The sequence below is a fragment of the Homo sapiens genome, chromosome 3 (genome assembly GCF_000001405.40).
Source record: "Homo sapiens chromosome 3, GRCh38.p14 Primary Assembly".
Taxonomy (NCBI): Eukaryota; Metazoa; Chordata; class Mammalia; order Primates; family Hominidae; genus Homo; species Homo sapiens.
In genome coordinates, this window is record NC_000003.12 from 69,499,098 (window position 1) to 69,513,894 (window position 14,797).

Consider the following 14,797-nt stretch of genomic DNA (forward strand, 5'->3'; position numbering starts at 1 on the left):
GGGGGAACGGTGAGTGCAAAGGTCCTGAGGCAGGAATCAACTTGGCAGACTTTACAACAGGAGACAGAAAACTGGTGTGGTGAGAGTGCCCTGAACCCAGGAGAAAAGGGTGTAATTGGGGTCCAAGAGATTATAGACTCTTTTGGGCCACAGTAAAGAGTCTGAATCTTATTCTAAGTGCAGTGGGAAGCCATTGATCCAAGCAGTAGTTAAGAAGTTCCTGCTAGGTCCTGTGTGGACAGTGGATTAGGTAGAAGCACAGAGTGCATGAAAAACAACAGCTGAGGAGAAAGGCTGTTGGTTTGGACCATGGCTGTAGGAGAAGAGATACAGAGAAATGGGTGAATTTGGGATAACTTTTGCATGGGAGCTGATAGGAGTTTGCTGTTGGACTAGATGTGAAGGAGAATGATAAAACAGAAACAAGGACAGCTTCTAGGTTTATGACCGAAGTAATTAAATCGTGAAGCTTTATACTGATGATGCAATCCACATCTCTATAGCTCTCCAGTAATCTCTAATTGTGTGTTCTGGTGAGGAATTCTCTCTACTGAAGTGCTATCTTATTATTCTATCTGCAGAGAGCAGGAAGACAGAGAGAGAGAGAGAGAGAGAGATGGATTCTAATAGATTGCATTTGAATTCAGACTCATCTGCTCCAAGCCTTCTGGTGTTAATAGCTGTGGCCCGATTATAGGCATTGGCTCAGCCAATGATAGAGTGTGTTTTAGTGTCCAGTCCCTTAGATTTAAAGAAGACAGAGAGTCTAACAATACTGGCCTCTCCGGCCTTCCTGTTGCCCATTGCTGACCTGTGTCTGAAGCCCACTTCCTGGATCTGGCTTCACGGCTTGGTCAAGAAGACTCTGTGTACATGCACTGACAACATGTGATGACAGACTGGGTTCCAGAAGGGGATCTGGACCGTGGTCAAGGACATCTGAACATCCCCAGAGGCCAGAAGATGACAGCCTGGCCACTTTGGCTTCTTGCCTTCTACAGGCAGAGTAGGCCAAGCCCCAGGACCCAGAGCTGTGGCTGAGCTGGGTCACCACTGTGGTTTGGACAGAGAGCAGGGTGGGGTGAGCTGTCCCCGGGCTGCTCTGGAGTTGGCTTCAGACAAGAGACTAAGGTCAGGCATGTGGTCGAAATCACACGTATTCCTGGGCAGAACTCTCATCGGGACTTATGAAAATAGATTTTATAACGTCAGCTGCACTTGGCAATGATAATTTCCTGGTTGAAGATGCGCGGAGGATCCCTAGGATATATATTCTTAATGAGGACAGAAATGTGAACTCATTGCATTGAGTGGGTCATCCTTATTCCTTGACACTTGGTAAAGTGTCCTATTTGGGCATAGAGGAGAGTTTCAGTGAGTCAGGATGCTGGCTGATGGTTCCAGTGAAGAGAATTAATGAAGAAACTACTTGCAGAGGTGTAGGATGGGCCAAGGGAACTAACAAGGAATGGGAGCCACCTAAAAGGCTAGCAACAAGGGCAAGCAGGTACTACCCCTGGGCCTCAAGGGCACAAAGTGAGGGCACATAGTTACCTGAACCTGGTAAGAACTGGAACCACAGAGAAGGCCCCCCCACCCCCCAAGCCAGGGCTGGAGTCACACAGAGGGAAGCAGTGACTGCCACAGAAGTTGCCCAGAAGTGGGAGAGAGAAAGGAAGGAACGCCCACGCTCTCTTTTCTGTCATCTCCCACAGGGGAGGGAGGAAGTAGAAAAGGGAAGAGGATGAATCAAGAAGCACAAATAAAGAATCCCCAGGACAAGTGGGAAAGTCACGCTCTCCACATGACAGCATTAGCATTGTCTCTAAACATGTCTAGGCACACGCATGTACACACGCCCCTCCTACCAAAAAAGAAGGCCAACTTTGTATTTTTAAAATATTATCCTGGAAGCAGTGTGGTGTAGTTTAAGACACAATTATATGTTTGGTGATATATCCTATCAGTAAAAAAATTTAAAAATCAGGCAATCCAAAATTTGCATATTTATTAATGTATAAATTGTATATGGCAAGCTTGTCCAACCAGTGGCCCAGGATGGCTTTGAATACAGCCCAACACAAATTTGTAAACTTTCCTAAAACACTATAAGGTTTATGCATGGACCTTCTTTTTTTTTTTTTTTTTTTTTAGCTAATCAGCTATCCTTAGCGTTAGTATATTTTATGTGTGGCCCAAGACAATTCTTCCAGTGTGGCTCAGGGAAGTCAAAGATTAGACATCCCTGGTATATGGCATATATGTATTACCATATTAATATACAGTGTACAGTATAACACACTAGGTAAGGGCATGGATTCTGTAGCTCAGCTTCTTCATAGCATTGTTGTAAGAATTAAATGAACATCTGCAGAGGCCTTAGGACAGTGCCTGACATGAGGCAAGCAGAATATGTGGTACATTATAGTATAAAACATAGCTCAACACAGAAGTTTTATAAGGCTGAGGTAATATCACACTGAATGGGCAAAAACTGGAAGCATTCCCTTTGACAACTGGCACAAGACAGGGATGCCCTCTCTCACCACTCCTATTCAACATAGTGTTGGAAGTCCTGGCCAGGGAAATCAGGCAGGAGAAAGAAATAAAGGGTATTCAATTAGGAAAAGAGGAAGTCAAATTGTCCCTGTTTGCAGATGACATGATTGTATATCTAGAAAACCCCACTGTCTCAGCCCAAAATCGCCTTAAGCTGATAAGCAACTTCAGCAAAGTCTCAGGATACAAAATCAATGTGCAAAAATCACAAGTATTCTTATACACCAAAAACAGACAAACAGAGAGCCAAATCATGAGTGAATTCCCGTTCACAATTGCTTCAAAGAGAATAAAATACCTAGGAATCCAACTTACAAGGGATATGAAGGACCTCTTCAGGGAGAACTACAAACCACCACTCAATGAAATATAAGAAGACACAAACAAATGGAAGAACATTTCATGCTCATGGGTAGGAAGAATCAATATCGTGAAAATGGCCATACTGCCCAAGGTAATTTATAGATTCAATGCCATCCCCATCAAGCTACCAATGACTTTCTTCACAGAATTGGAAAAAGCTACTTTAAAGTTCATATGGAATCAAAAAAGAGCCTGCATTGCCAAGTCAATCCTAACCCAAAAGAACAAAGCTGGAGGCATCACACTACCTGACTTCAAACTATACTACAAGGCTACAGTAACCAAAACAGCATAATAGTGGTACCAAAACAGAGATATAGACCAATGGAACAGAACAGAGCCCTCAGAAATAATACCACACATCTACAGCCATCTGATCTTTGACAAACCTGACAAAAACAAGCAATGGGGAAAGGATTCCCTATTTAATAAATGGTGCTGGGAAAACTGGCTAGCCATATGTAGAAAGCTGAAACTGGATCCCTTTCTTACACCTTATACAAAAATTAATTCAAGATGGATTAAAGACTTAAATGTTAGAACTAAAACCATAAAAACCCTAGAAGAAAACCTAGGCAATACCATTCAGGACATAGGCATCGGCAAGGACTTCATGTCTAAAACACCAAAAGCAATGGCAACAAAAGCCAAAATTGACAAATGGGGTCTAATTAAACTAAAGAGCTTCTGCACAGCAAAAAAAAAACTACCATCGGAGTGAACAGGCAACTTACAGAATGGGAGAAAATTTTCACAACCTACTCATCTGACAAAGGGCTAATATCCAGAATCTACAAAGAACTCAAACAAATTTACAAGAAACAAACAAACAACCCCATCAAAAAGTGGGCAAAGGATATGAACAGACACTTCTCAAGAGAAGACATTTATGCAGCCAACAGACACATGAAAAAATGCTCATCATCACTGGCCATCAGAAAAATGCAAATCAAAACCACAATGAGACAGCATCTCATACCAGTTAGAATAGCGATCATTAAAAAGTCAGGAAACAACAGATGCTGGAGAGGATATGGAGAAATAGGAACACTTTGACACTGTTGGTGGGACTGTAAACTAGTTCAACCATTGTGGAAGTCAGTGTGGCGATTCCTCAAGGATCTAGAGCTAGAAATACCATTTGACCCAGCCATCCCATTACTGGGTATATACCCAAAGGATTATAAATCATGCTGCTATAAAGACATATGCACACCTATGTTTATTGCAGCACTATTCACAATAGCAAAGACTTGGAACCAACTCAAATGTCCATCAATGATAGACTGGATTAAGAAAATGTGGCACATATATACCATGGAATACTATGCAGCCATAAAGAAGGATGAGTTCATGTCCTTTGTAGGGACATGGATGAAGCTGGAAACCATCATTCTCAGCAAACTATCACAAGGACAAAAAACCAAACACTGCATGTTCTCACTGATAGGAGGGAACTGAACAAGGAGAACACTTGGACACAGGAAGGGGAACATCACACACTGTGGCCTGTTGTGGGGTGGGGGGAGGGGGGAGGGATAGCATTAGGAGATACACCTAATGTAAATGAAGAGTTAATGGGTGCAGCACACTAATATGGCACATGTATTCATATGTAACAATCCTGCACGTTGTGCACATGTACCCTAGAACTTAAAGTATAATAAAAACAAATAGAGACATAAACTTTGAATATGCTTCTCCATGCCCCATCATGCATGCTTCCATCAGGGTATATACTTCCCACTTTGGAGATCACCAGCTAAACAGTTAGTATTTGTTACCGGGCAGACCATCCCACTGCACTACCTTGAGTAAATTCACCCATTACAGCCTCACTGTCCTCATCTGTAAAATGATAACAGTTACTAGTATCCTGGTTGTTGGAGGACTAAATGCACTACATCCAGTCAAACACTTAGCCCAGCACATCAGTACTCAATACAATGTTACATGCGATTATTGTCATAAAAGGAATGGTCATTGTATTAAAACCAGGAAAGAGAAAAAAACAAAAATTGTCCATACTCCTACAGGATCATATACAATCACTGTAAAATAATATTGGCATATGTTTTTTTGAGACCTTCTTCTAAAGCTTATACACACACATATTTTGCATAATTGGATCATACTGTACATTCTGTGGTGGGTCTCTTTTTAATGGCAGTAAAGTATAACATCTTATAGGCTCAGAATAATTTATTTACCCAGCCCTATTGTTGGTCATTTATATTTTTTCCAATATTTTTTCATTTTAAGTAACCCCGGGATGAATACTTTTTTTAACAGCTTCATTGGGATATACTTTACACCTCATAAAATTCACCCACTTAAAGTGTACAATTCAATGGTTTTTAGTGTATTCAGAGTTGTGCAACCATCACCACAATCTAAGTTTGGAACATTTTTGTCATTCCTAAAAGAAACCTACACCGAGTGTAGTCATCCCCAAACCACCCCTCCCAGACCCAGGCGACCTCCAATGTACATGATGTTTCTGTAGATTTGCCTATTCTGGGCATTTCATATAAATGGGATCACAAAATATGTGGTCTTTTGTGTCTGGCCTCTTTCAGTTAATGTTTGTGAGGCTCATCCACATTATAGATCTACCAACACTTCATTCCTTTTTATTGCTGAATATTCCATGGAACAGATATACCACATTTTATTTATCCATTCATCAGTAATGGATATTTGGGTTGTTTCCAAGATGAATAATCTTATAGGTTAATCTTTGCACACATCTTAGTTGGTTCCTTTGAATATATTCCTAGACATGAAAATGCTAGGTGAAAGATGATACACATAATTTCTAAACTTTTGGATATTAGACACTTTCAATTAAAGCTTTATTTCTCACTTGAGCACACTGCTTCCTTTCTCATTTGAAGGGTCACTGCTCTTCATCCTATCAACTACAAAACTTTTCTAATCTCTTCCTTGTGATGCCTGGAGATATTTGCAATTTTTAATCTTCTAAAGCAACATCCCCAGGGATTCTATCCTCTTTTGGATATCAGAGACTCTGATGGACAAGGACACTCCCAAAGGAAACAAATAGTGGCCAGCATAAGTGGCTTATGCCTATAATCCCAGCATTTTGGGAGGCTGAGACCAGAGGATTGCTTGAGGCCTGGAGTTAGAGACCAGCCTGGGCAAGATAGGAAGACCCCATCTCTACAAAAAATTAAAAATAAAAAAAATAAGCTGGGCATGGTAGCACATGCCTGTAGTCCCAACTACCCAGGAGGTTGAGGTAGGAGGATCACTTGAACCCAGGAGTTCGAGGTTACAGTGAGCTATGATCGCACCACTGCCCTCCAGTCTGGATGACAGAGCAAGACCCTATCTCAAAAACAAAAAACAAAAAGAAAAAGGAAACAAAAGGAAATAAACAGTATTTACTTGTATCATTCTTTACCATTTTCAACTGGAAGCCCCCTTAAGTGTGACATTAATGAAAGTCAGCTTGTAAGACTTGTAAGTGGCAGATAGTCTCTTTAAAGCATCTCACTTTGTCCTTGTAAGTAGGTGTTTCTACTATCAACCTCTTGAAAGTGGTTAATATCCAGAAAAATAATTTCTTATTCAGTAAAATTTTGACCCAAGGTTTCATAGCACCTAAGAAGCCAAGTATCATTAGGCTCATAATCTTATTTATTTACAACATGTTACAGATAAACTGACTTTCTCCTTCTTAAGAATTTGAAGGAAGTGAAAATTTGTTTTCTACATGCTGTGGATTTTAATCCAACATAGCTGTTAAACTCTTGGGGTGGCCTCCTGGGTGAAATCTACTCACACATTTTCTTTATTATATGAAAGGATCCTGTGGGGAAGGCAGCTGGTGGGTAAACACCAGGCTTAAGCCTTAGTCAGTGTGAATCCTGGATAATGTTTACAAATAGAATGGTCTCTGCAGCAACCAACTAACAGTAGATAAGAGAGCTGCCTCATTTACAGCTGCGTTTAATCTTTCCAACGCCTGAAAAATATTCGCTGAATGCTGGTGAATAGGATGGCTTATGGTGCCCTCACCTTCACCCCTGGACACGCTTCCTCCACTGACCTTTCTGGTCACAAGCAACAAAGGTGGTTAAAAATACTCCATTCTTTGTACAAAGACCATCCACTGCAACCCCAAGGCCCTTAATGTTATTATCCGTGGTGCTGATGGATTGGCCCTGATCTTCACCCCACTTCCTCTTCAGAACAACACGCATTTATGTTGAGAAGACTGGCGGGGACTCATAAGTGTTGGAATTCTCTTACATGTCAATTAGGGGAGGCATTTTACACAGGATATCCAATTTCAACATAACAACCACCCACAAAGTAGGTGCTGTTATGCCCATTCTAAGGATGAGAAAGTGGAGGCATAGTTGTGCTGTGCATCCTGGAACCCAAGTGTAAAAAAAAAAAAATCTTATTAAATACAGACTTCTTATGAATGTACTTAGGAAGTGTATTAATTCCTCAGAGTAAATAAAGGTAACTCTACTGCTAAATTCTTTTTTTTTTTCTTTTTGAGACAGGATCTCGTTTTACCACCCAGGCTGGAGTGCACTGGCAACATCATTGCTCACTGCAGCCTCGACCTCCCTGGCTCAAGCAATCCTCCTGCCTCAGCCTCCTGAGTCTGGGACTATAGGCGGGGGCCACCACACCCAGCTACAGCTAATTTTTTTGGGGGGGGTGGGTAGAGGTGGGGTCTCACTATGTTGCCCAGGCTGATCCTGAACTCCTGAACTCAAACAATTCTCCTGCCTTGGCCTCCTAATCTGCTGAGATTACGGGGTGAGCTACAGTACCTGGCATCCTACTGTTAAATTCCTGCCTCTCAGCTGGAGACAGTGCACACTGCGGTGACGATTTATTTTAATATAAATGCTGCAGTGCTGTACTTTCCAAGGTGTTAATTTCAGAGAAAATGTCCCACCAAAAATTGGGTGGGTCATATGATCAATAAATTTTGTTAAATTAAATTGTACAGGATTCTTGAGTGTGGACCTTCATAGAGATTCTAATATAGGGATGTGTATTCTGAAGCCCCAAGATGGGCGAAGAATCAATACTATTTTTGTGGAACACCAATTAGCCTTTAATGGAGCTGTTTTTTGTGACACACACAAGCAGAATGAACTTCTTAATGGCCATTCATTTTTGGTTTGATTTTTAAATAGGCAGTATATACAGACAGTAAATTTTGAGTATCCAGAGTTATTCAGTGAAAGGTCCATCTCTCTTCAACCTTTGCCTCTAAAATTCTCTCTTAAGAAACAACTATTGATTTCAAGTTCTAAGATATTTTAGGCATATGCAACCATGCATGCACGTATGTATGTGTGTATATGTGTAAGTTTGTGTGTGTGTGTGTGTTTCAGTTTTGAGTCACAGTATATATATTGTTCTGTACCTTGTATTTTTACTTAATAGATGTTAGAAATCAGTCCATATCCATATATATAAGGCTGTGTCACTTTTTTAATACCTACATAGTATTTTACGGTATAGATGTGTTAAATATGTTTAACCAGTACCATATTGATGGATATTTAGAATATTTCTAATCTTTTACTGCTACAAACAGTGCTGTAGGGGGTACCCTTGTACATTTTTCTTTGCACCATGGTGTTTCTTGTATCAGATTTTGATTTTTAGAAAGGGGCATCATAACATAATATGATTCTGTGAGGTCAAAAATGGCCCAGGTTTGCAGCCTTCTGATGGTCTGGCTTGATCCAGAGACAGAGAAGAATTTAGAGTTTACAGAACTAAGCCCTAAAAAAAATTGTCAGAGTCTGTTTAAAATAGAGGGAAAAATAGGTTTTTTTTTCAGAGGTAAGAAAAATTAAGGTTTTTAAAAAATCCTATTTCTTTTAGAGGTAAAGAGGTTTCGGGTTATATGCATGTTCCTACGCAAGGCCATATGGAACTTAAGGCATGAAATCTCTAAGAACAGGGATTTCCCACATGGATAACCTTTGATTCTTAACTGAAAAAGTAACTGCTTTATTCACCCTGGTTCAGAAGCAATAGTTTTGCTTCCTCACTATCTTGTACTGCATTTAGTTTCTGCCAAACAGCATTTCATTGACTCTAAATATTAAAAGTTGTTCTTTCTCCTGAACATATTTCTCCCTCTTCTTTTTTGTTTCCTGAATGGCAAAAAATAACATAATAAAGGGTAACATTTTACATAAGAAAAAAATAAAAACTTTTATTTTATTAAACGAGGTTAATATCTAGTTGGAATTCAACAACAGAACTTGATAGAAAGAAGTGCTCCTATATTTTGTTCAACAGCTTTACTGATGATGTCTTCCACTTTTAAAAATATCAATTTTATCAACAGGTTTCAATCGCATAACAGGCTGGGAAAATTTCCTTGAGGACAAATTACTGTTGGGACAAATTACATGGCTTCCAACGTGGTTGCTCCAGCTATTATTTCTTTATTTCCTAGTCAATGAGAATAGGGGAAGGGAGAAAGAAAGCATCCTCCTAGCCCAAACTTAGATATATGAACACAGCTGACTACAAAGTAGGCTAGGGAAAGTAGTCTCTAATTGGTCATCCACCTGCCCAGATAAAGCTTGGAGGAATATTCTACCATTAAAAGGATAAAAGGTAAGCAACCAATGGGCCAAAGAAGAAATCACAAGGGAAATTTTAAAATATCAGGTGATTTAAGAATAGGTTGCATTATCTGGTCCTCGTTTGGGACAGTACAGAGCAACATATTATAGCCACCTTTCATCATAAAGTGCCATCACTCTGGGTCAGGCACAACAACCTATGAGGTGGATCCTTACAACCACCTACAAGGTGGGTACTGCTGTTGTCTCCATTTCATAGACAAGGAATCTAGAGCACAGGACAATCTCAAGACCACACAGCTAGAATGTTGTAGAGCTAGAATTCGAACCCATTGTTTTAAAACCTTATTCTCTAGACTAGGTCTTGAATTCTTTTAAACCCAAATACATGTAATCACCTGTTGAGGCCAGAAGTTTTGTCTCTGCTCCCATCTAGCTATGTCAAGTGATACATGGATGATCACTGTTCACAGGCTTCTGCAGCAGTGGGGTTTGTTCTACATTTGAGCAGCCCTGCTCCAGAATGACATCTCTCCAGGCCAGACGGTGAAGCAAGCTCTATGACACAGGTGATGGTTTCAAGGAAGGAGAGATTCTGACCATTTTATTACCTCCCCTGGAACGGAAGCGATCGCTTGCAGTGCCATCTAACTCTACGTCTTCACTTGAGGCCAGTTGAACGGGCAAGTCTGTTGCCAAATTCCAACAGAAACATTCATCAGAATTTTCCCTTAGGAATTTTTGCAAAAGCTAGCTGTTCCCTCCCGCCATGTTGTAATATGTAGAAATGGTCATCTAGTTAGGGGCACACAGAATCAAGTATGACAAGTTATCAATTTCCCCTTTCTCAAGGTGCTGGAAGTGAGTCATTAAGTAAATCTTGACTATCAGGGTGTCTTCAGACCTCTAAAGAAGCATTTGATGAAAGAGTTCTCAGAAACGTGGGTCTAAATTTGATTCTAGTCCTGAGGGCATCTGTTCAATTGCATTTGCCTTCTGCAGCTGTATAAACTCATCTACTGCTGGAAAATCTCAGAAACCTTGTAGAGTCATATGTCATTTTATTGCACTTCACAGATATTAATTTTTTGTTTTGTTGTGTTTTTTACAAACTGAAGGTTTATGGCAACCCTATATCAAGCAAATCTATTGGTGCCATTTTTCCAACAGCATGTACTCACTTTATGTCACTGGGTCACATTTTAGTAATTTTACTAAAATTTTAGTAAAATTTGATACTAAAGCGAGTATCAAATATTGCAATCAAGCAAGTCACATGATTTTTTGATTTCCCAGTACATATAAAAGTTCTGTTTACACTCTACTATGGAGTATAAACAGAGCTTCTACATGCACTGGGAAATCAAAAAATCATGTGACGTGCTTGATTGCAATATTTAACACTCACTTTATTGAGGTGGTCTGGAACTGAACCTGCAGTATCTACAAGGTATGCTTGTGCCTCCCAAGGTCTCTGTTTCCTCCTGAATATTCGTCCAGAACAATTTTGTCTACTTTAAGACAGGGTTCTGGGATTAAATTACATAATCCCTATAGAATACTTAGTATATAGTAAACTGATAGTAATAATAGCGATTTTTGTTATTAGCTCAAACTCCACAAAAAATTAGAGAGATGAAAATATTGTAACATAAAACAATAGTGTCAGAAGCAGTAGCCAAATAAAGATGAGAAATGAAGTCAGTCCAGAAGTCTATATAAAAACTATTAAGCAATTTATCTTATGGTGATGATTCATAGACGTTTTATTCTTCTCCTTGATAATGAATTGCCTTTGTATTACTTTTATTATCAGACAAAACAATAAAGCAGTTTCCACTTGGGGAGAAAGAACTTAGACGAAGTTCGGGTGTTTCTGAAATTATAAATCAAGGATAAAAGCAATTTAACTTTCAAATTCTCAGTTTTCATGCACTCTGCAAGGAAAGGAGCTCAGCCCATGAGTATACTTGTAGATCAAAATTTACACGTTTAGGGCTACAGAGCTCTAACAGGCCAGGCAACAAGCAAGCCAAAGGTGTTGATGACCACAGCAGGCAGGCTCACACTTACTAATACTACTTGCAGCCCTAAACTCCCATACACTACTCTATAATTTCCAGACCACCCACATTTACACTAACAAGTCCACATACAGGGCACAACAAGCATTCTCATGCAGTTCTGTCATCATGCCCAGTTTTCATGCCTGACCTTTTCTCATACTTCAGAACATTCTGACACTTCCTCTCTGCCTAACTTCAAAGCAGTGAGCATGGGAGAATAATTTACATTCTTATAGTTGACCAATAAATCTAACCATTTTTTCCTTGCAGACCAATAGAGCATTTTATTTACATGTGGGGTCATTTATAAATAGAGTACTTTATTAAGCTCATAAAGATTTCTCAGAACAAACACCATTTTTCCAAGTATGTTTAATGCATTCTTGGGGTTAACATTTTGTTGAGATTAGATATGTCGCCCTGATCAACTGCCATAAGGACATTTACTGCATTAAATTTTATCAAATACAGATCTTCAGGTTCATGGTCCCAGTAGTTGTATAAGCATCACTGCAGAATCTATTTATTTTGCATTTCATTTTTTTTCCCTAAGGCAAATCCTCTTTAAAACCATGTTGGATAAGTTTTTTAAAAATCTTTTTAAACTGAAAAAGAATTTATAATTTTTTTAATGTTCAGGTTGCCTTTGTTTAAAATGTGCCAGCCACTATGCTAGGCCCTGAGGATACCTAGGCAAAACACACATAGTCCCTGCCTACATGGAGCTTAGAGTACAGACGGGAAGCAGCAAGAAGAATACCATGCCTATATAATCACACATGCATGTATAATTAAAAACACAGGATGCAGTGGGCACATGTGGTGGCCATGGAAACACAACTCTCCAACTGCAGGGAGCATACCTGACTGACAGCCCCAGCTGTCGCTCCTCTAGATCCTTCAGGCCACCCCCAGCCAATGGCTCCCATTCCTATCAGACGCAGAACTTGTCTAACGTGCATCTTGGGCTAAGAACACCCCACTGGCATCACTGAAGTGTTCTTAGAGCTGAGTAGAGTCTGAGACTCTTCCTATCCATTCCTTCTTCCTTCCCCTTCTCCTTTCTCAAGGATCAGACCTGCATTTGTGGTCTGAAGGCTCTCCCTGCCTATTCTTACCCCACTTACCCCTGCACTGTATCCTGCACAGGTGTTTTCCCTCGTATGTCCCTTGGACATGCTTCTCAGAGGACCTGGACTATATACAACTTAGAAGAGAGGAGTACAACCTAGTCTGAGGGATCAGCGAAGACATCCTGGAGGGGGCAATAAATGAGATGAGTACAAGTAGAAAGCAATGATGCTAAGAGGAGGCAATGAACATTCCACATACAGAAATTAGCATGTCAAAGATCCTCTGTCACAGGACAAAAGAATAAAGAAGAGAGATTTATGTTCTTTGCCTAGAATACAAAGCAAGAGAGAGAAGAAGCTGCAGAGGTAAGCAAGGACCAGATAAAAAGAAGAGGAACAAGAAAAGCATCTACTCTGGCTCACCATAGTGAGGCACTGCACGGGGCTGGAGTTAAGAGGAAAAACCCTACATACATAGACTTGGGCCCTACTTAATGCTTTCATAATAATTTATTTACTTATTTGGTTTTAATATCTTAATAAGGAAGGCAAACAAAGAAGAAAGCCAACACTTTCTTGGGTTAACCGCATAATTTCTTGGGTTAATGTAGCACTTTTGGTAAAGCTAAAGTATTCATATAGTACAGGCTAAGCTACTATAACAAAGAGACCCTGAAAATACAATGGTTTAATTGAAATAAATCTGTATTTTTTCTTTTTACATAATGGTCTAAAGAGAAGCAGAGAATCTAGGGCAGGTGGATAGTTCTGCTCTATAGAGTTACCCAGGGATCCATGATGATGGGTGAGCTCTGCCATTTTTCAAACATGGCTTCCAACGTGGTTGCTCCAGATATTATTATTTCCTCATTTCCTAGTCAACGAGAATAGGGGAAGGGAGAAAGAGGATCCTACTGGCCCAAACTCAGACACATGAACACAGCTGATTGCAAAGTAAGCTAGGGAAAGTAGTCTCTAACTGTGCATCTTCCCGCCCAAATAAAACTTGGAGGAATGTTCCATCATTAAAAGGATAAAAGGTAAGCAACCAATGGGTCAAAAAAGACATCACAAGGGAAATTTAAAAATATACTGAGATAAGTGAAAATCAAAATATTACACACCAAAATTTATGACATGCAGTGAAAGCAGTCATAAGAGGAGAGTTTGTAGCTGTAAATGCATATATTAAAAAAGAAGACTGATCTCATATCAACAACCTAACTTTATAACTCAAAGAACTAGGAAAATAAGAACAAATTAAATGCAAAGCTAACCAAAGGAAGGAAATAATAAAGATTAGAGCAGAGATAAACAAAATAGAGAGTAGAAAATTTATAGAAAAAGAGTCAATGAAACTGAGTATTTTGAAAAAAATCAACAAATTTGATAAGTTCTTAGATGAACTAAGAAAAAAAGAGAACACTCAAAAAACTAGAATTAGAAAGGAAAGAGATGTTAGAAGCAATGTTGTAGAAATAAAAGGGATTATAAGAGAATACAATGAACAATTGTATACCAACAGATTGGATAATGTAGAAGAAACATAAGAATTCCTAGAAACACACAACCTATCAAGACTGAATCATGAAGAAATACAAAATCTGAACAGACCCGTAACTAATAAGCAGATTCAATCAGTAATCTAAAACCTCCCAACAAAGAAAAGCCCAGGACCAGATGGCTTCACTGGAGAATTCTGCCAAACATTTGAAAAAGAATAACACCAATCCTCCCCAAACTCTTCCAAAAACACTGAAGAACAGTAAACACATCCAAACTTATTTTATGAGGCCAGCATTACCTTAATACCAAAGCCAAAGATGCTACAAGAAAACTACTGACCAATATCCCTAAAAAATAATGATGAAAAAACTTCAACAAAATCCTAACAAACAAAATTCAACAGCATACTAAAAGGATTATATAGGGCAACCAAGTGAGATTTATTTCTGGAATACAAAGATAGTTCAACATGAAAAAAACAACCAATTTATAAATTACTACTGTATATTACATTAACAGAATAAAGGACAAAAACCATGGAATCAACTCAATCAATGCAGAAAAAGTACATGAAAAGATTAAACACCCTTTTATGATAAAAATAGTCAACAAATTAGAAATAAAA

At 39.2% G+C, this 14,797-nt stretch overlaps 1 protein-coding gene across 5 annotated transcripts in view, besides 1 other annotated feature; it reads right to left on the minus strand.

Annotated features, from left to right (window-relative positions):
• The window catches only part of FRMD4B (FERM domain containing 4B), a 373,805-nt gene that overhangs the window by 330,316 nt on the left and 28,692 nt on the right, over positions 1-14,797 (minus strand). The gene's annotated exons all lie outside the window — the stretch shown is intronic.
• Positions 12,675-13,271: an enhancer, noted in NCBI's record as "OCT4-NANOG hESC enhancer chr3:69560923-69561519 (GRCh37/hg19 assembly coordinates)". NCBI's record gives its function as "activates a minimal SCP1, AML or CMV promoter by ChIP-STARR-seq in naive H9 embryonic stem cells {active_cell/tissue: H9 hESC(naive)}" and the evidence as "EXISTENCE:reporter gene assay evidence [ECO:0000049][PMID:30033119]".